At 39.4% G+C, this 22262-nt stretch overlaps 1 long non-coding RNA gene across 4 annotated transcripts in view; it reads right to left on the reverse strand.

Moving 5' to 3' along the window:
• The window catches only part of LOC100506974 (uncharacterized), a 108299-nt gene extending 87093 nt beyond the window's left edge, over positions 1-21206 (reverse strand). For 2 of the 4 annotated variants that reach the window (XR_001752796.1, XR_001752794.1), the window contains exon 1: positions 15306-15592. This is a non-coding gene — a long non-coding RNA (uncharacterized LOC100506974). Of the gene's footprint in view, positions 1-1984; positions 2953-15305; positions 15593-21189 lie in introns of those variants that run through there. The other 2 variants (XR_001752795.1, XR_001752797.1) reach the window with 2 other exon arrangements.
• Positions 21207-22262: the final 1056 nt, after the last annotated feature.

Genomic DNA, 22262 nt, shown 5'->3' on the forward strand with positions numbered 1-22262 from the left:
CAGTAGGAAGCTGAGCTTTTATTCTTCCATTTTGAATAACGTCCACTTTAAAAGGTTAGATTGCTCTGCAGTGAGGTTAAAACCATTGTTATTCCTCCTCCATCTTGGAATAGATAAAAGAGTATTTCTGAAGACTCCAAGAAGGTTGTTAGAGCAAGAAATAAATGTTGTGTGGATTTTCCAATGTTGTTGAGCAAAGGTGAACTACTCTAGAAGCAAGTGGAAGGTCAGGATGTAAATCTCTCTAGCTGCAGACGTATCTAAACGTTAGTATCTACGGAAGGTCAATTGATTGTCTGCGAGTTCAAAATAAATGGGTCATATTCTCAGTGGCTCCTAAATCTGGTCTTGCAAGACCTTAAAGTTTTTCCATTTATTTGAAAGAGTGGGAGACAGTGGTGTTTGGTGGTTGAAGAGGGTGGGGGATGTTTGCTGATAGTACTGACAAGCAAGGTGAGCACAGTCTTTTAAAGTGGCACATTTTCAATAGCTTTCAGTTGAAATGTTGGTGTGAAAGTTATTAAGAGAATGGTGATAAACCATTAGGGGAAGCAGTGTGAAAGGGAGGTCAGGGTATTCAATACGAGCTTGAATCATAGGGGTCAAATAAGGAGACACACAGAGAAACAGGCACAGCTGAGGCTTTGTAAATGTGCTCTCACCCTGGCCAATGCCCAGCACAAGCCTCAGGGTCCACTCCACCTCAGAAGCTGAGGGTGACACCTCCTTACAAAGGCTTGGTACTCTTGATGCTAAAGCCACCTTCGACTTTTAACTGGGGGTGCAAATAAGGGTCAATAGCAAGAAGGAGAGGTCAAAGATACTCAAAATAATTAAGCTTCCTGCCACTAAAAATTTAAGCCAATGGAAACATATTTGAGATGGCTATAACAGGAAGAGAATCCTATCCTGGGTAGGAAATTCAAAGGTGTTTGCCCCTGGGAAGATTTCATCTGTACCCTTCATATTTAGAACACCATCTACACTACTGAGTGTCCAAAAGCCATTCTTTCTTGCATTCTGAACTCTGTATTCTGGTCTCAATCCTTTCCCATGAAATATAGAGAAAATTCCTGAATGGACCATCCAGAGAAGCATGGCAATCCCAATGCCAATTCTAGTGGGGTCAGCTTAGGAAGGAGCACATGAACCAGCCCCGATTAACAAGCTTATCTTGCTAAGATAAGAGAGCAAGTCTTTTGGGATTTTCTGGGAGCTATTTCCTCTATTGGAAATAGAGAGATACAGGGGAGAACTCTCTTTCTCTCCTAGAGATCGTCTTGTCTGGATGCCATACTTGGAACTGCTGAAGCCATTCTGAGACCATGAGAGGAGCCATTACTCCAAAATGGAAAATGGGAGAGGTGAAAAACCTGCCCAGCTGCCCAATCAACCAACCTTAGAGCTGCCCTATTTCAGGTTTTCTTGTTAAGTGACATAATAAGTTTTCCCCATTGCTTGTAACAAATTGAATTTGGAGGTTTTGTTCCCTGCAGCTTAAAGTACCCTCACTGATGCAAAAACATGAACATTCTCAGGTTGATGGTCAGACTTCATTCTGCCTTTGTCTCTTTAAATACATAGTTCCATCATTAGGAGAACACATGTACAACACCCAAGATCAAATGGAGACTGCATAGAAAGAACAGGCTGGCAAACCCATTGGAAAGTACAGCTTTCTCCTTGCCCAATCTTACCAAATTGAATGAAATTAAGAATAGCTGGCCGGGCGCGGTGACTCACACCTGTAATCCCAGCACTTTGGGAGGCCAAGGCGGGCGGATCACGAGGTCAAGAGATCAAGACCATCCTGGCCAACATGGTAAAACCCTGTCTCTACTAAAAATACAAAAATTAGCTGGGCGTGGTGGCAGGTGCCTGTAGTCCCAGCTACTCAGGAGGCTGAGGCAGGAGAATTGGTTAAACCAGGGAGGCAGAGGTTGCAGTGCGCCGAGATCATGCCACTGCACTCCAGCCTAGCAACAGAGCGAGACTACGTCTCAAAAAAAAAAAAAATAAGAATAGCTAACATGTATTTCTATGTACATTCTAGGCACAGTGATGGGCATTTTACAGCAATTATCTCTTTTCATCCTAACTTTTTAGATATCTACTGATATTGTTGTTTTGATGACAATAAGTTACCTGGGAAATATTGATAATCATTCTTGTTAATCATAGAGGATTATTTAATCCTTTCATTTAAATGCCTTATGCAAAGTATGTACACATTCATTCTGACATTTGATTTTCCCAGTTTTTTAGTACATGAAAATTAAAGCTGAGAGCACACAACTGGTAAACAGGGAATCGGAAATTGAATCTTGACCTCACCCAGTACTCTTCTCACTTTACCTTATGTCTCCCATACACTGCCATTAACAGGGTCCAATTATTTAAAAGCTGGAATAAAAATTATACTCTTGTTGTGGCCTAAAGCCTTGCTACTCAAATATCACCTGAAAGCTTGTGATAAATGTAAAATCTCAAGCCTCACCCCAGACCCGCTGAATAAGAAACTGCTTTTCAGTAAAATTCCCAGTAATTCAAATGTACATGACAGCGTGAGGAGTACTGGGCTAGAGGGTGCAGCCCTCGGAAGAAAGGAAGGCAGCAGTAATTACAGAATGTTAGTCTAAGAGAACTCAAGAAAGACCATGGAGGTGACAGCAAGTGTCTGTGGGGGGCCGGCATGGGCTGTCTGTGCAGTGTTTATATGAGTTTGGTAGTCAGTCTCCTGGCAAAAGTTAATCTAGTTGCTTTGTGTTCCAAATAACAGAAGAGTCATCTTGGCTTAAACATTAGTTCTTACACTGAGTAGCTGAGAAACACACTTCTGAATACAAACACAAGATAAATCAAGAGTAAATTGAATTCAGCACCTGGATCCAACCAGTCTAGCAGTGAGCCAAGATCGCACCACCACACTCCAGCCTGGGTGACAGAGCAAGACTGAAAAAAAAGAAAAAGAAAGAAAGAAAATTAACAAAAATACTAGGACCTGAACTCAGCTCTGGATCAAATGGACCTGAGCGATATCTACAGAACTCTCCACCCAAAAGCAAGATAATAGACATTCTTCTCATCATCACGCGGCACTTACTCTAAAATCTATCATATAATCAGAAGTAAAACACTCTTCACCAAATGCAACAGAACTCAGATAACAAACAATCTCTTGAACCACAGTGCAATCAAATTAGAACTCAAGACTAAGAAATTCACTCAAAACCATATAATTACATGAAAATTGTTCCTGAATTACATGAAAACAGGTTCAGAAACCTGTTCCTGAATGACTTTTGACTGAATAATGAAATTAAGACAGGAATCAGGAAGTTCTTTGAAACTAATGTGAACAAATATACAATGTACCAGAATCTCTGGGACACTGCTAAGGCAATATTAACAGGGAAATTTTGGGGTTTTTGTTTTGTTTTGTTTTGTTTTTTGTTTGTCTTTTTTTTTGAGATGGAGTATCACTCTGTCACCAGGCTGGAGTGCAGTGACGTGATCTCGACTCACTGCCACCTCCGCCTCCTGGGTTTAAGTGATTCTCCTGCCTCAGCCTCCCAAGTAGCTGGGACTACAGGTGCCCGCCACCATGCCCAGCTAATTTTTTTATTTTTAGTAGAGATGGGGTTTCACCATGTTGGCCAGGGTGGTCTCGATCTCTTGACCTCATGATCTGCCTGCCTCGGCCTCCCAAAGTGCTGGGATTACAGGTGTGAGCCACTGCATCTAGCCTAAGAGGGACATTTATAGCACTAAATGTCCACATCAAAAAGTTAGAAAGGTCTCAAGTTAACAACCTAACATGACAACTATTAAATAAAAGAACCAGAGAACCAAGAACAGACAAATCCCAAAGCTAGCAGAAGACAAGAAATAACCAAAATCAGAGCTGAACTGAAAGAGTTAGAGACACGAAAATCTATTCAAAAGATCAACAAATGCAGGAGCTTGTTTTTTGAAAAAATTAATAAAATAGACGGTTAGCTAGACTAATAAAGAAGAAAAGAGAGAAGATTCAAATAAACACAATCAGCAATAAGGGGGATATTACTACTAACTCTACAGAAATACAAACAAACATCACAGAATATTATAAACACCTCTATGCACATAAACTAGAAAATCTGGAAGAAATTGATAAATTCCTGGACATACACACCCACCCAAGACTGAACTAGGAAGAAACTGAATCCCTGACTAGACAAATAATGAATTCTGAAATTGAGATAGTAATAAATAGCCTACTAACAAAAAAAAGCCCAGGACCAGACAAATTCACAGCTGAATTCTACCAGATGTATAAAGAAGAGGTCGTATCACTCCTACTGAAACTATATCCAAAAATTGAAAAGGAGAGACTCCTCCCTAACTCATTCTATGAGGCCAGCATCATCCTGATACCAAAACCTGGCAGAGATACAACAGAAAAAGGAAACTTCAGGCCAGTACCCTTTATAAATATCAATGCAAAAATCCTCAACAAAATACTGGAAACCAAATCCAGCAACACATAAAAGCTTATTTATCATGATCAAGTAGGCTTCATCCTGGGATGCAAGGTTGGTTCAACACATGCAAATCAACAAATGTGATTCATCACATAAACAAAACTAAAGACAAAAAACACATGATTATCTCAAAAGATGCAAAACAGGCTTTCTACAAAATTCAACAACCTTCATGTTAAAAACTCTCAATAAACTAGATATTGAAGGAACACACCTCAAAATAATAAGAACCACAAACAACATCATACTGAATGGGTAAAAGCTGGATGCATTCCCCCCTTGAAAACCAGCACGAGACAAGGATGCCCTCTCTCACCACTCCTATTCAACATAGGATTGGAAGTTCTGGCCGGGGCAATCAGGCAAGAGAAGGAAATAACGGGCATTCAAATAGGAAGAGAGGAAGTCAAACTATACCTGTTTGGAGATAACATGATCCTACATCTAGAAAACCCCATCACCTCAGACCAAAAGCTTCTTAAGCTGATAAGCAACTTCAGCAAAGTCTCAGGATACAAAATCAATGTACAAAAATCACTAGCATTCCTATATACCAACAACAGTCAAGCCAAGAGCCAAATCTTGAATGAATCCTCATTCACAAGGACCACAAAAAGAATAAAATACCCAGGAATACAGCAAACTAGGGAGGTGAAAGATTTCTACAAGAAGAACTACACAACACTGCTCAAAGAAATCAGAGATGACACAAACAAAAGGAAAAACATTCCATGCTCATGGAGAGGAAGAATCGATATCATTAAAATTGCCATACTTGCTCAAAGCAATGTATAGATTCAATGCTATTCTTATTAAACTATAATTAACATTCTTCACAGAACTAGAAAAAAACTATTTTAAAATTCATATGGAACCAAAAAAGAGCCTGAATAGCTAAGGCAATCCTAAGCAAAAAGAACAAAGCTGGAAGCATCACACTACCCAACTTCAAACTATACTACAGGGCTACAGTAACCAAAACAGCATGGTACTGGTACAAGAACAGACACATAGACCAATGGAACAGAATAGAGAACCTGACCCTAATGACATTTTAGAAAGAGCAAGAAATATAGTAGATAGTTTTAAATATTAAATTAATGACACAGAGAAGGGCTTCAGGTATTCTCAATGAATGAGAAAGACAAATTAAAGCAATCGCAGAGTGGATGATTCATGTAGAAGACCAAGAAGATCCAACTGAAAGCTAACTGGGGCTCCTGTCATTAAGGACCAAAAACTGGGAAAAAAATATTTAGAGATACAGCATTGAAAAATTTCCATGAAATGGAAAAAACAGAATCTACAGATTAAATTCATACAACATATATGGGAAATAATAAGTGACAGAAAATTATTGGCATCAACACATAACCTCATTAAATGATTTAACTTCAAGGATAAAGACAGAATTTTTATCCCTCCTGACAAAAAAAAAAAAAAATTATAGTTCAGTGCAGGAGAAAAAGTCAGGCTGGCTTAAGATTTTACCACAAAAAATTCAGCATGAGTTATTGACTGTGGAGTGATACTTTAAAAGTTACGAGGGAAATAAAGTATAAAACAAGAATATATCTAGCCAAGTTCATTCTCAAGTATAAGAGCAAGTAAAAAACTCAATAATATGCCACTCTTAAGCCACTGTGGGAGAAGAAAATAAACTATTCCTATTTCTCTCTCTTTATGGTTTCTAAATCTTTTTGCCTAAAATTCAAAAAAAAAAAATTGAGATCTGATGTTTAGTGCAGTGAAAATTTCTTCAGATTTACTTCGTCTTCTCTTTGTTCATTTAAATGAAAGTTGAAACCTTTTATTAAAGTATAAAAACGTTAGGAGAATTTCATGCCACCTAAGAGTTGGCAGGATTACTACTTGGACAGGTCGTTTGAGTTAGCAAATGCAAAGCAAATACATCACATGTCACACAAACACACACACACACACAGACATTGTGGTTGTACAAGACCCAAGTGCTTACAAACTCACTAGACTGTATGTTTCCATCTCTAATCAGATGTTCTGTTTGGTAAAATAAAGTATATCTTTTAGCAGGTCTATATCTTGCTATGAATTTCCTGACCTCATGGCTTGCAACCAGGATGGCATATTAGAATCACCTATAGAGATTTCTTTCTTTCTTTTTTTTTTTGATACAGAGTCTCGCTCTGTCACCAGGCTGGAGTGCAGTGGTGCGATCTCAGCTCACTGCAACCTCTGCCTCCTGGGTTCAAGCGATTCTCCTGCCTCAGCCCCCCGAATAACGGAATACGGGCACGCACCACCAGACCCAGCTAATTTTTTGTATTTTTAGTAGAGACGGGGTTTCACCATGTTGGCCAGGATGGTCTCAATCTCTTGACCTCATGATCCGCCTGCCTTGGCCTCCCAAAATGCTGGGATTACAGGCGTGAGCCACTGTGCCTGGCCAGAGATTTCATTTTTTAAAATACATAGGCCTTGGTATGTGTTATTTCTAGAAGCTTTCATTTCCAGTATCCACACTCACTGATTTAAAGAAAAGTTTCTTTCTTGCATAGGAATTTAGAATCCCCTGTATCTCCCTGTGACTGCGAGCTATTGCAGAGTCCTGTATGTTCTTGTTTACTTAGGAGTTCAAAGACAACCAGGAGAAGGCAGCACAGCAATATACAGCTGTGATCCTGTTTTTCTCCTTTAAAGAAACAAAAATGGCTATTTTGCATCCTGATTGAACAGCCCAGACCTTGGCAAATATATTATTCCATGGCATTCTTTGTGAGAGTGATATCTTGGAGAGAATAAAAAGGTAAGGCCACCCCTCTGTAGGCAGAAGTGGAGTCTCTTCTAAAGGAAATGAGCTGTCAGTCATTTAAAAGAGATCAGTCCTGGGATAGAAAAGGAAGACTTGGTGGATGAGCCTTAAACTGGCTTAGAGGGAAGCTTCCTTCTCCCTTTGGGGGCCTTCCAGCAATTGAGCCTGAATTTTAAGGCAGAGAATTGCACAGAGCTTCCCAGTGAGGAAGAAAAGAGTAGAGAGTATGGTGGTTAAGAGACCCTGGTGTCAGACAGGCGTGGTGGCTCACGCCTGTAATCCCAGCACTTTGGGAGGCCAAGGCGAGTGGATCACAAGGTCAGGAGATCTAGACCATCTTGGCTAACACGGTGAAACCCCGTCTCTACTAAAAATACAAAAAATTACCCGGGTGTGGTGGCGGGCGCCTGTAGTCCCAGCTACTCAGGAGGCTGAGGAAGGAGAATGGCGTGAACCCGGGAGGCGGACCTTGCAGTGAGCCGAAATCACGCCACTGCACTCCAGCCTGGGCGACAGAGCAAGACTCAGTCTCAAAAAAAAAAAAAGAAAAGAAAAGAAAAAAGAAGACTCTGGAGTCTGGCAGCCTGGCATCGGATGCCACTCCGTACTTGCTAGTGTGTGCCCTTGACCAGTCGCTGAAGCTCTCAGTGCCTTAGTGTCCTCATCTAAAAAATGAGGATCATAATAGCACAAAGAGTTTTATGAGGATTAACAGAATAATACACACAAAATGCTTAGAATACTGCCTGGCACATAATAAGCACACGATAAATGTCAGCTGTTGCTTTTATTACATGGAGCAAGAAGGAAGCCTGATAAAGAATCTCAGAATTGGGCTGGACAGATGGAGAGAGATATGAGAAGTCATAATCAGCCTTTTGGTAAAGGCTCTATCAGAGTTATGGTTCTGTCTTTGTATCATTAGGAGGGAAGACTTACCCCCCATCTCACCCCCTGACCCATCGCCCCAAAGCCAGGTGGAGGCAGCGTGGTCACTAGCAGCTGGTCACTATGCCCCACACTGGTGAGCTCTAGCAGGTCTATTAATATCAATGTGGCAGCATGATGTGGTATCCAGCATCCTCTTCAGAAACATGTTAGGCACACTTTCAGGAGGCCTAATTTCCCATAATTAAGCCAGCAGGGGTGTTCACCATCAAAATTTAGACATTAAAAGGAAGTAAGTTCTACCTTGGCCAAAAAGTGATGAGGCCTCACCATTTGGATTATTCTAGTATAAGTATCCCAACACAACAGGTGCTCCAGACAGGGCATCAGTGAGGAACAGCAGGTACATAACACCCAGGGCCTCCCTGCTCTGCAGTGCTGTGGTTTGGGATGGCCTGGGATCAGCCCTCCCGCCCTGTATCACAGCTGTGGAGGTGTGAAAGCAGAGAGACCAGATGCCAGGAGCACTTACATGCCTTAGATTAGTCTCCGAGGACAATCACAGTCGTAGGACAGATGACGATGTGAGCAGAAAGGGTGATTAGTCATTACTGAAACTTTGGAATACTCTCCAGCCAGTGCTAAGATGATAAAACAACAACAGAAAAGACCTCTTTTCTGCTGGGCAAGCCCCTGGTAACCTTTGCCACTGAACTAAAAGCTTTCAAAGGGCGAACAGAAGAGCCATAAATCTCAGGGGTGACATTAAATATTTGTCACTGAAACACTTAAGACTTGTTTCAAAACCATTCCTTTCTGAAAGTTTATAACAAATAACTGGGTGACTTAACCTCTACAAGAGCATCTCCTTTTTCACTACAAATGGAAACAAATGGTCTATAAAGAGCGGGACCCTGCTGATGGTCAATTCTCAGCCACTGTGTGGTCTCCCAGCCCTGCCCAAATGGGTGAGTTGCCCCTTTTGTTTAGATTAAACTGGCTCTTGCATCCATGACATCAGGGCAGCAAAGGTTTTAACTGGACTTTCTTTTAAACTGCCCATTAATCTTCCCTCCCTTCACCCTGCTGAAAGAATGAGTAAAGTAAATTATTTACATTCTGATGTTGCAAGAACTCTTCCTACATTAAGCTTTCAGTTGAGCCTAAACATCTTTTTAGTGTTTTCCTCACAACCCCTCCCCTTATCATAACTCCATAGCTTCTCAGAGAGATCACCTGTTAGACTAAAATATGACAGGGATACAAACCTCTTCCTAACCACCTGTGTGTGCCCTGGGCACACATACCAGAGAGAAAACGTTTTTAGCCAAGTTCCAATTTTACCAAGTTCCAAATATGACAATCTTCATTCCCAGCATTCTAGAGTTTGCTCTTCAGTATGCCATAATATTCCTTCGGCATCTCCGGAGGAAAACTGAAGCGCATCAGAAACTTTGCAAAAGATGTTCGTTATGCCTCTTGTCAGAGTGAGGAGCAAAGGCTTTTGTTGGGAAGAGTAATGTCACCTGCATCAGCTCCCTCTGGGCTCAGAGGGACAAGCAGCCACCTACATGGAGGGTTTTCAAGCATGGAGCTGGGAGGTGGCTCAATAGGACACACACCCACATTAAAGTTCCCATTCAACCCTGAAATCCCACTTCAGACAATTCACTTCTCTTGTATGACAGAGAAAAAGAAAGAAAGAAGGTTCTTGTAAGGTATCAGAGTAGAAGGAGCCAGAAAAGGCCATTGAAAAGGAATTCATAAAGCAAGGTCAGAGAATGAGGAAAGAATTGGAAGCACAGACCGTCACAGGCATCAGGAAACCTGGGCTGCCTGCAGTCGAAATAACTAATTCCTATTAAGTTTGAATTAATGAAGTAACTTTTAATTAGAGAAAGATAAACCAAGTAATATCTATTAGGACAAAGATGCATTTACGAAGCATCTGTTCCTCCCTCTCTTAATATGCTGCCTCATTCGTTTCCTTAGGCCTTAATTTCTTTTGGCCTTCTTTACAAGTTCTTAGCTTCCCCTAACAAGCATTTGTTATTTAAAGTCAGCACCCATATAAGTCATATTTTGCTGCCTCTTGCCCAAACTTTGCCACTAACTGCAGACGTGTGTCCCCTGAAAATCACCTCCAACCATTGATAATTTCAGTATGCTCCCAAGGAGAACAGTGTCACCTCTGGCTTTGCTTTGGTTAGTGGTTAACATTCTCTTGCTCTGATATTTTGACACCAATGATGTCCTGAGGCATGAAGGTCCCCTCTGAGCCTTGCCACTGGCTTCTGCTAGGAATTGCCATCCCTCACTATGTTCTCCAACGAATGCAGAAGGACAGGGAATGCTGTTTTCTGGGGTCCATAGGGCACCAAAGCTCCCTGTAAAATTCTCCCTTCTTTTGTTCCTTTTGTACCTCACTCTTTCTTATGAACAACAAAAAAATGCTGCCTGTGTTTCCATATCTTACTGTTATTGGCCAAAAATTCTTTAGATTTTTGCTCAGACACATCGTCCTTGTTGGTTCCCAGATAGCAGCCAGGATCAGGATACAAATCTGAGTGCAAAGCACTGCCTGGAACTCAGATTCCTCTCTCCCTTCCACTGCACATGGGCTTGGCACTGGGCCAAGTTTTTCTCCATGGCACTTTATGGCTATCAACTTCTGGTGGCCAGTCCTACTGGTAATGCAGACATGTAAATTCTGGCAATAGACACAGCTGAGACTCAAGCTGGCGGACCCAGCCTCTGCCTCACACACACTAGTATTACTTAACTCATACTAAAGTATTACTTAACTTGTACTAAAAAGCCATCAAGTCTCAGCTAGCTCTTTTGTAGCCCCCCCCCGCTTCTTTATTTCTGGAGAAATTCATAAATACTGGCTAGAGACCAGTGGCATCGGGAATGCCTGCATCGTTTGTTAAAAATACAGACACCGGGCCCCCATCCAGAGCTTTCGAATCAGAAGCTCTTTGTTAAGACTCAAGCATCTTTTTCTTTTTAAGTTCGTTCAAATGATTCTTTCAGACATCTAGCTTCGCAAAGGGCTATTTCAGAGCGCCAGTCTAATTTCAGCCCTGTCTGAGCACATCTTACCCTCATCAAATTTGACTTCTTCTAGAATATCATTCTCTCTTGGCCTTCCCAGACTTGCATAATTAAGGCATGTTATGGCCCCTCTTCACATCTGCTCTTTCTACTAGACTCTCTCAAGGTGAGTCTGAGCTAAAGCTTTAGTTAGTGCTTCACCCACTTGTGGAGATGGAGGGAGGAGGGGCGTGAGGGGATTCAGATACTAGGGTGCCACCCTGTATCTGGATTCAACATATCCAGAGCTGGGCCCAGGAATCTTTTTGTTGGTTTGCAAGGTGCCTCAAGTTTGGGAACCTTAGTAGGATTTAACATGGTGATGGGTTTTTTTTTGTTGTCGTTGTTTTTGAGTGGGGGAGGCGGGGGTGGGCAAGCATGGGCCAATATATGTTAGAAACAATTATCTCACAATTTTTACTTGTATAACCAAAAGGTTTCCTCATGATAAGAAACAAATTTTAAAAATTTACTACCTTTGAAATGCATCAGAAAATAAAGTGGATTGATAGATGAGTAACAGGATGGATATATGGATGAATCAGGAAATCTAGTAAGATGCTAGTAGTAGAATCTAAGTAGGCAGGTACATGGATATTTGTTGTTGTTGTTGCTTTTATTTATTTATTTATTCATTTTGAGACTCACTCTGTTTCTCAGGCTGGAGTGTAGTGGTACCAAGGTGGCTCACTGCAGCCTTGACCTCCTGGGATCAAGCCTAGGTCACTTCAGCCTCCCAAGTAGCTGGGACTACAGGCATGCGCCACCACACCCGACTAATTTATTTTATTTTGTTTTATTTCATTTTATTTTAGAGACAGGGTGTCACTATGCTGCCCAAACCGGTCTCAGACTCCTGGGCTCAAGTGATCCTCCTGCCTCAGCCTCCCAAAGTGCTGAGATTACAGGTGTGAGCTACCACACCCAGCCTTGTTGTATAATTCTTGCAACTTTATGTACGTTGGAAACTTTTTATAATGAAATGGTGGGATTAAAGACACTAGGATTAAATTTTGCCTCAAAATTATATTTTAACTCTATACCTCAACTTAATAATGATTAATAATGACTAAGTTGAGGTCATCTAATATAATCATTAGATGACTGATAGGTGATTGATTACTCCAATGCCCCCTAAATGTTATGTATACTATATCTGAAGTAATTTATTACCTATGTCAGTAAATTAATTTTTTTAAATGGTGGTAGAGATGCGGTCTCATTGTGTTGTCAAGCTGAGTGCAGTGGTGTGATCATAGCTTACTTCAGTCTTGAACTCCTAGGCTCGACAATTCTCCTGCCTTAGCCTCCTGACCATAGGCATGCACTACCATGCCCAGCTTTTTTTTTTTTTTTTTAATGTTTTGTGAAGATAGGGTCTCACTTTATTTCCCAGGCTGGTCTTGAACTCTTGGCTTCAAGCGATCCTCCCGCCTTGGCCTTCCAAAGTGCTGAGCACAGGCATGAGCCACCTCGCTGGGCCAACGTATTTTGTTTAAGTGAGATTTTAAAAATAAATTGTAGATGTTTATTCTTGCTAAAATGTAAAATCTCTTTCTCTTTGCACCATCTTCCCCTTTTTATCTGTGTATACATTTTCTAGTCCTAAAACTATTTGAATAGTATCAATCAAAAAATATATATGAATATTACTGTGAACTAAATGTACTATTATGTTATTATGAAGATGTAAAAAAAGCTACAACTTCAGAGCAAAGTTGTTAACAGAAAGTGTTACTGCAGTCCATGTAGTAACTTTGACAAGTTTATATTCAAAGTTGAACATTTGCTGCTGAGGAAATCGAGCCGGGAGAACTAATGACATATTTAAAATCATGTAACTAGTGGGAAACCCAAACAAGAACATAAATCTTTGTTGCTAAAATAAATTCACTCTAAAATTATGCTCAGGAACACCAATATAAGTGACTTTAAATGGGGGTAAAAATTGGTGTACTTAAAATTATTTTCCCTATTAGTCAATAAATGGTATGGGGACATTGATAAAGTTGCATTTCTAACTCAGTCTTTTCAACAAATTAAATCCTTCTTAAAGAGATTTAAAAATGAAACATAAGACAAGTCATAAACTGGAGAAATTATCTGCAAATAAAATCTAATGAAGGACGTATTCATAATATATTAAGAACATTCAAAACTCAAGAACAAGAAAACAGACCACCCAATATTTTGTAATGGGTGAAAGTTCTGAACAGACATTTTATCACAGAAGATATACAGATGACAAGTGTACTAAAAGATGTTCAATGTTATTTATCATTAAGGAAGTGCAAATTAAAGCCACAATGAGATAGCACTACTCATCTATTAAAATGACTCAAAATGAATAAGTAGGTAAACAAATAACTTATAATGGCAAGTGCTGGCAAAATTGCAAAGCAACTGGAACCCACTTAGCTATCTGGCAGGAACGCCAAACAGTACAGCCACTCTGATAAACAATTTGGCAGTTTCCTATAAAATTAAATATAACCTTACTAAACGAGCAAGCCATATTACCCCTAGATATCAATCCAAGTGCCCTAGATATCAATCCAAGTGAATTGGAAATGTATGTTCCCACAGAAAGCTGTACACAATTGTGGATAGAAGATACATTCATAAATGCAAAAAACTGGAAACAACCTAGACCTTGAATATGTAAGTGGATAAACAAACAGTGGTACATCTATACAATAGAATACTCTCAACAATAAAAAATATTAAATTGATTTTTACATCCGAGCAAGGTGGAGTAACAGAGACTGAATTTGCCCTTCCACATGAAACAAACAAACAAATGAAAACAATATATGAAAACAACAGTTTGCAAAACACTGGACACCAAATAAGGAAGAACAATGATCTCTATAAGACAAGGGAGAAATAAGGTAAGCCTTACGATCAACACAACTTTTTTCCTTGAGAGTTTCCAAGCAACGACACAGAGCGAAGGAACTCAGTTAGAGTCCAGTGGACTCCCTGAGTTGAAGACACAGAGCTGAGAATTCAGGCAAACCAAGACAGCTAGAATTCCCAAGACAGAGTAGAGTAGAAAAGACAGCTACAAAGAGACGGAAATGCAGAGATCTGCAGAAGATTCTTGTGTAGTATTCAGGTGAGCAATCATCAACAAATGCCTGTGAAGAAACCACCTGAGGCTGAGGAAAGACCCACCTGAAAGGATTAGAAGAAACAGTGACTGGTACTCAAGCAGGACTATTTACATTTAACATGTTATTGATGTCGGTGGGTTTTAATCTGTCACCTTACTATTTATTTTCTATGTGTCCGTATTTTCTTTTTCTGCAGAAAAACTCTTCTCCTGCCTTGTTTTGGATTAGTTGAATATCTTTTTATGAATTCATTTTAACAACATTGGTTGCTTATTGGTTTTCTTTGTTATTTTAGTGATTGTTTTAAAGTTTATGTTATATTAATACCGTTTTAACTTACCACAATCTAGCTGTAAAAATGGGGTGCTACATTGTACCACTTTATGTACAGTATAAGAACCTTCCAAAAATATACTTACATTTCTTCCTGCCAATTTTTGTGCTATTGTTTTCATACATGCTACGTTTATATATGTAGTGGATCTATAGACAATTTACAGGCAGAACTTGCATCTTATCAATATTGACTCCTCAACCAATTAATGAACATGTACATCTCTCATTCATTTAGGTTCTCTTTCTACTTTCTTAGAAAAGTTTTCTAGTCTTCACCAGTCTTTCACATCTTCGTTGAACTAATCTCTAAGTATTTCATAGTTTCGATGCTACTATAAATTGTACTTTTGGTTATAATTTCTGATTGTTGCTGTTATATAGAAATACATGCTACTTTTATACATGTATTGGGTCTGTAGATAATTCAGAGGCAGAACTTGCATCTTAACAATATTGATTCCTCAACCAATGATTAACCCCATGCTACATGGTTGTTCTTTTATTGAAATAATTATCTTTTATACAGTTTTAAATAGTAAGAAAATACATATTTACCAGTATAGTTACTATTTCCTGTGCTCTTCGTTCCTTTATGTGGATCCACATATCCATCTGGTATCATTTTTCTTCTTCCTGAAGGAATTCTTCTCATTTTTCTTACAATGCAGATCTGCTGAAAATAAATTATTCCAGCACTTATATGCCTGAACACATTTTTATTCTACCACTATTTTTCAAAGAAATGTTTGCTAGGTGTAGAATTGTAGGTGAATGTTTTTTGCTCATTCGTCTTTTCAATAGACATAGAAAAAGTTTTTGACAAAGTCTACTCCTCATTAAAAAAAAACTCTCAGCAAACTAGAAACAGAAAGAATCCTTCTCAATCTAATATAAGACATTTAAAATAACCAAAACCTTACAGCTAATATATTTAATAGTGAAAAACTGAATGACTAGCCCTTTGAAATCAGAAACAAAACAAGGACGTTCTTTCTTAATATTTCTTGTCGACATCATACTAAAGATTCTAACCAGTGCAACGAGACAAGTACAAGAAATTCAAGGCATCCAGTTCAGAGAGGAAGACATAAAACTGCCTTTATTTTCAGATGACACAATTGTCAAAGTAGATAATTTGATGGAATTGAAAAAAAAAAAACTACTAGAACTAATAAGAGAATTTAGCAAGACTACAAAATACAAGACCAATGTAAAAAAAAATTGTATTTCTATATAACAGCAACAAACAATCAGAAACCGAAATTATAACCAAAAGTATAATTTATAGTAGCATCAAAACTATGAAATACTTAGAGATTAGTCCAACAAAGATGTGAAAGACTAGTGGCAACTAGAAAACTTTTCTAAGAAAATAGAGAACCTAAATGAATGAGAGATGTACAGGTTCATTAATTGGTTGAGGAATCAATATTGTTAAGACGCAAGTTCTGCCTGTAAATTATCTATAGATCCAAAGAAACCTGAATAAAAAATTCCAAAAAGTGTTTTTGCAGAAATTGATAAACTAATTCTAAAATTCATATGGAAATTCAAAAGACCTGAAATAGGCAAAATAATTTTGCAGAAGAAGAACAAACTCGAAGACTAACGCTACCTGATTTTAGGAATTCTTATAAAACTACAGTAATCAAGACAGTGTGGTACAGGTGTAAAGATAAACAATAAGGCCAAAAACAAATAGAGAAACCTGAAATAAACCTACACATAGATGGAAATCTGATTTTTGACAAAAGTGAAAATGCAATTCAGTGGAGAAAGATGGTCTTTTCAGCATAGTAAATAAACTTCAATCCACACCTTGTACCATAAAGAAAATTAACTCAAAATCATCCAAAAATTAACTCAGAGACCTCAATGTAAAACCTAAAACCATAAAACATTCAGAAGAAAACCTTTGTAATCTTGAGTTAGACAAAGATTTTTTCCATACAACACCAAAAGCATGATTCATTTAAAAAAGAAACAGATACATGAGATCTTATTAGAATTAAAAACTTTTGCTTTTTAAAAGATACTGTTAAGAAAATAAAAAGACAAGCCACAGACAGACTAGGAGAAAATATTTCCAGGTCATATATCTGATAACAGACTTGCATTCGAAATATTAGACATCTCAAAATTCAGTAAGAAGAAAACAAATTTTTAAAAACATAAACATAAGATTCAAACAGGCAAGTAAATCCCTGAAAAGATGCTCAATATCATTAGTCATTAGGTAAACTCAAATTACACACAGTGAACTACCATTATATAACCATTAGAATGGCTAAAATTTAAAAGCATTGACCATATCAAGTGTTGGCAACAACATGGAGAAATTAGAACTTTCATGCATTGCTGATAGGAATGTAAAATAGGGTAACTACTGCAAGAGTCTGGCAGTCACTTAAAAAGGTGAGCATACACCTACCATATGAGCCAACCATTCCACTTCTAGGTATTTGCCCAAGAGAAACAAAAGCATATATCCATGCAAAAGACTAGTGTGTGAATGATCCTGGTCACTTTAGTTGTTGTAGCCAAAAACTGTAAACAATGTCCGTCAACAGGTGAAGGATAAACAGAGCTAGATTCATACAAAGGAATATTTACTCTGCAATAAAAAGGAGCTCACTGGTGAAGCATACTACACTATGGTTGAATCTCAAAATAATTTTGCTGAGAGGAAGAAGCCAGACAAAAAGGAGTGTATATCCATACACATAGAATTCTAGAAAATATAAACTTATCTGCAATGATAGAAAGCCAGGTGGTTGCTTAGGGAGGGGAAATGTGGACAAGGGCATGAGAAGTAATTGCGAAGGTGAACAAAGAAACTTTGACAGTGATAGATAATATGTTTATTATCTTGATTATGGTAAAGGTCTTGTGTATGTATATTTATATCAAAATTTATCGAATTGAACATTTTAAATATATGCAGTTTACTGTATGTCAATTGTACTTCAATAGACACGTTATTTTTAAAAGAATGCACTATTGATCCACTCAACAACATGGGTTAATCTTAAATGGGTATTGCTAAGTTAGAGACGTCAGAATAGAAAGGCTATATACTGATTGGTTCTATTTATAAGACATTCATGAAAAGACAAAATTGTAGGAATGAAAACACTCATCAATGATGGCCAAAGAGGGAGGTTGGTTGAGGAGTCAATTACAAAGAGGCAGCACATGAGAATTTTGGGGTCAGTGTCTCCTGCATGGTGTTTGATATACAACTCTATGGAGTTTGGAAAATCTCTCAAATTTATAAACATTCATACCTTGTAACCCAGAAGTTCTATTTCTAGAAATTTATTATAAATATGTCTAAATAAGAAATAAGGTTACTCATTGAAGACTGTTTAAAATAGCAAAAAGTTAGGAATTGTTTAAATATTCATCAGTAGGAGCCTGACTAAATCAATGATGGCATATTCACGCAATGGAATACTGTGAAGCCTTTAAAAATAAGAGAGTGTAAGAAACCATTTTCAAGAGGCACATAAGGTAGAGGACAAAGCATATAATGGGCTACCATTTGTGCTTTACAAAAAGAAAAAAAAAGGCATGTGCTTATAGTTTTTGTAATTGCATAGAACATCTTTAAAATGATATAGAGTCATTGCTTGGTATCTATGGGGATTAGTTTCAGGACACTGCCTCCCCGCCAATACCAAAATCCAGGGACGCTCAAGTCCCTTATATAAAATGGCATCACATTTGCATATAATCTACACACATCCTTCGATATACTTTAAATAATCTCTAAATTACTTATAATGTCTTATACAAAGCCTACATATCACTTCCTTTGTGTGGATTCAACGTAGTACCCAGTGTGTACCAAATTCAAGTTTAGCTTTTTGGAACTTTGTGAAATCTTTTTTCCAAACATCCTTCATCCATAGTTGGTTGAATCCATGGATATGGAACCCACAGATGAAGAGCCCACAGATACGGAGGGCCCATGGAATAAGAAAGAGGTGAGAGTGTCTGCCACTGAAAACAGAAACTGAGTGACTTGGTGAAAGGGGTGGGACAGAAATTCATTAACACCATCTATTAACTAGTCAAAAAATTAATTAACTACTTAGATATTCCTTACCTGTATTAAAGACACAGAAAAAGAAGGTTCTGTAGGAACATACTCAAAACAATAGTAAGAACATATATGACATACGTATTTGAGTTATCCAGGCAAGAGCCACAGCTGACGGTGGAGAAGCTAAGTTAGAAATCAAGGACTTCAGAATATCTTTGAATACTCTGAAGTTACAGCCCTAAAATGAAGCAGCAAGATGCATCTGTTAATAGAATTCCTGTCTCAGAGGTGCCGTGCTGCCATCCAACTGGCACTGGGAGTCTGGCTTTATTGATAGATGGATAAGATTGAACATGACACCTGTGTCCAGTGAATCCCCTGGCGCCATTTAACTAGCACTTAAAGCAGCTGCTTTTGAAAAATTACCTTCAGACTGGGCCCACCCTAGCAGAACAAAATCCTCACCTTAAGTACTTTTCCAGTTCCCAATAAATGAGGATTTTTGCCCTGCAAGAGAACTGAGCCATATTTTATTTGAAGCCACATCTGTCACTTTATTTTTATTTCCCCTGCTGTCTACCTTAGATCACAATGCCTGTGTCATGGCAATATCCTTCCAAGGGATCACAGCAACCCCCTCTTTGAAGACCTTACTTGGCTGCTCATTGCCCGTAATATAAAGTCATGTTCAGTTGTGTTTACAAGGCCTATTACAATCTGCTCTCAAAACACAATTTCAGCCTGATCTCGCCAGCCTCGTGCCTCTACACAAAACTATTGGACTTTCTCCAGCCACGCTGTAATCTTCTGCATCTTCAAACCATTGCTCGTTCTTCTCTCTTCATTATCTTCTTTTTTATTTATTTATTTATTCATTTAGTTATTTATTTATTTATTTGGTGTCGGAGTCTCACTCTGTCGCCAGACTGGAGTGCAGTGGTGCGATCTAGGCTCACTGCGACCTCTGCCTCCCGGGTTCAAGTGATTCTCCTGCCTCAGCCTCCCGAGTAGCTGGGACTGCAGGCACACACCACCACGCCCAGCTAATTTTTGTATTTTTAGTAGAGATGGGGTTTCACCATGTTGGCCAGGATGGTCTCTTATCTCTTGACCTCGTGATCCGCCCGCCCCAACCTCCTGAAGTGCTGGGATTACAGGTGTGAGCCACCACACCTGGCCCTTCATTATCTTCTTAAGAACCACCACTAATTGATCAAGACTCAGGTACAATATCACCTCCTCGTGAAGTATTCTCCAGCCCTACTAGACCAAACTGATGAGTATCTTCTCCTTGATTCCAGAGCAAAGGCACAGCTTGTGTGAGTCTCTGTATTTATCCCAACGCCTTACTTATTTCATATCTTACCCCTCTCTCCTCAATATTTGTGGTCTCCATGAGATATGGGGAATATGATTTACTCATGTTTATACCTACACTGCCTTAGTAACTAACACAGCTTCTAGCACATAGGAAAAGCTCAATAGTTACATTTTTACTATGGAGAATCTGTGGAGATCTCTGTGTGTGGTTTCTGAATGTCTAATTCAACTCTCACATTCTTCCCAGCTGTCCAATTTGTAGCCTCCTGGTTCAAACATTGCCCGTGCTCCCTGCCTGCCTGGAGGAGAGCATTTATGACCTGTCTCACTCTAATTGCTGCTGAAACATCCAGTTCCATTTCTCACTTACGAAGGCATTTTAACCTGGTTGAGCTGCCCTAAATGTAGTATGTACATCTCCACCTCCACACCCTCATTTACCTTATGCTTCTTGCCCATATTGTCCACCTGCACACATCAAAATCGTAGTGTGATGTCACTATACACCCACCAGAATGGTTAAACTGAAAAAAACCCGTTCATTGCTGCTGTGAAGGTAAATCGGCATAACCGCTTTGGAAATCTATTTGGCTGAATATAAATTCTTATGAACTACAAATGTTACTCCTGGGTATATGCCCAACAGCTTGTACAGGACATGTACAGGAATGTTCATAACAGTGCACTGAACTAGAAACAACCAAAATGCCATCCCCAGGAGAAAGGACAAACTGCGGTTCATTTATGCAATGGAACACCACAGAGCAATGAGAACGAGCCATTGCTCCACAAAACAATATGGATCAATCCCACACTGTGGAGTATATGAAGAGATTCCTAAAAAACAAAAGATTTAATCTACAAAAGTTCAAAACCAGGCCAAACTTATCTATGGGGACCAGAAGTCAAGTGATGGCCTGTGTGGTGGCTCACACCTGTAATCTCAGCACTTTAGGAGGCCAAGGCAGGAGGATCCCACAAGGCCAGGAGTTCAAGACCAGCCGAGGCAACATAAGAAGACCTCATCTCTATAAAAAATTTAAAAAATTAGCCAAGTGTGATGATACTCACCTGTAGTCCTAGCTACTTGGGAGGCTGAGGCAGGAGGATCACTTGAGCATGGGAGTTCAAGGCTGCAGTGAGCTGAGATCGCGCCACTTCACTCCAGCCTGGGCGACAGAGTGAGAACTTGTCTCTAAAACAAAATAGTAAGAAGATTATGGGTGGCTCAGTAACTGGGATGGGGAATGAGGGGGTCTTCAGTGGTGCTAGTAAAGATTCTATTTCTTGGTCTGGGTTATGTTACATGTCTCACATTTTGAAGACTCATCAAACTATATCCTTATGACTTGTGTTATACCTGAATAAAAATAAAATCTCCACAGCCTCTAGCCTATGCCTTCTCATAGGTGAAGTTCACTTAAATGGTTGGCAACCAGTTAACTTATAGAACTCTACTTCCCTTTAGGTATCTGGGTATGTTTGGGGGCAGGCTCAATGGCTTTGAATTATACTCAACCACGTCTAGTTTGCCCTTCTCTACATTGAACCACACAATTCGATTTCAGCCTGGTGAGCAGCTGGGGCAGTTGTGATGGGAGCTGTCTGAGAACAAGCTTGCTCTACACACAGTACATTTTTGGGATGCCAGCAATGGCCTGCTCATCTCCTTCACAGCAGTGCTACTTAAAGCATGGTCCACAAACCACCTGTGAGCTGGTTAGAAACGCGAATGATGAGCCTCACCTCCGACCCAGGGAGTCAGATGGTGCTGGGCCCCAGGAGTTGGTGTTTCTCAAGATCCCCAGATTTATTAGCCATGTCTTTGATTTTCTGTATTCTGAGGCTTTAACATGTGGAGCCTTGCTGATCCTGGGGGCACTGCTCCTCCCAGGGCTGGCCAAGTCCTAGAGATGGTAAGCAACTCAACCAGAGTGTGTTTTTCAAATACAAACCAACCCAGCAAGAGCCCACCACCAACCACCTCCTTTATAGAGCTGTCACATTCAGGGCCAGTACTCCCCTGTCCTAATCATCCCAGGGCCAGGGATCAGACAACTAAGAACAGAGCTGCAGCCCCCATGCCCCAGAGCCCATTGAACTTATTCCAACTAGCCAATCCCAAGCCTGCTTACCCTGCTTCC

The sequence above is a fragment of the Homo sapiens genome, chromosome 17, assembly GCF_000001405.40.
Source record: "Homo sapiens chromosome 17, GRCh38.p14 Primary Assembly".
Lineage (NCBI taxonomy): Eukaryota > Metazoa > Chordata > Mammalia > Primates > Hominidae > Homo > Homo sapiens.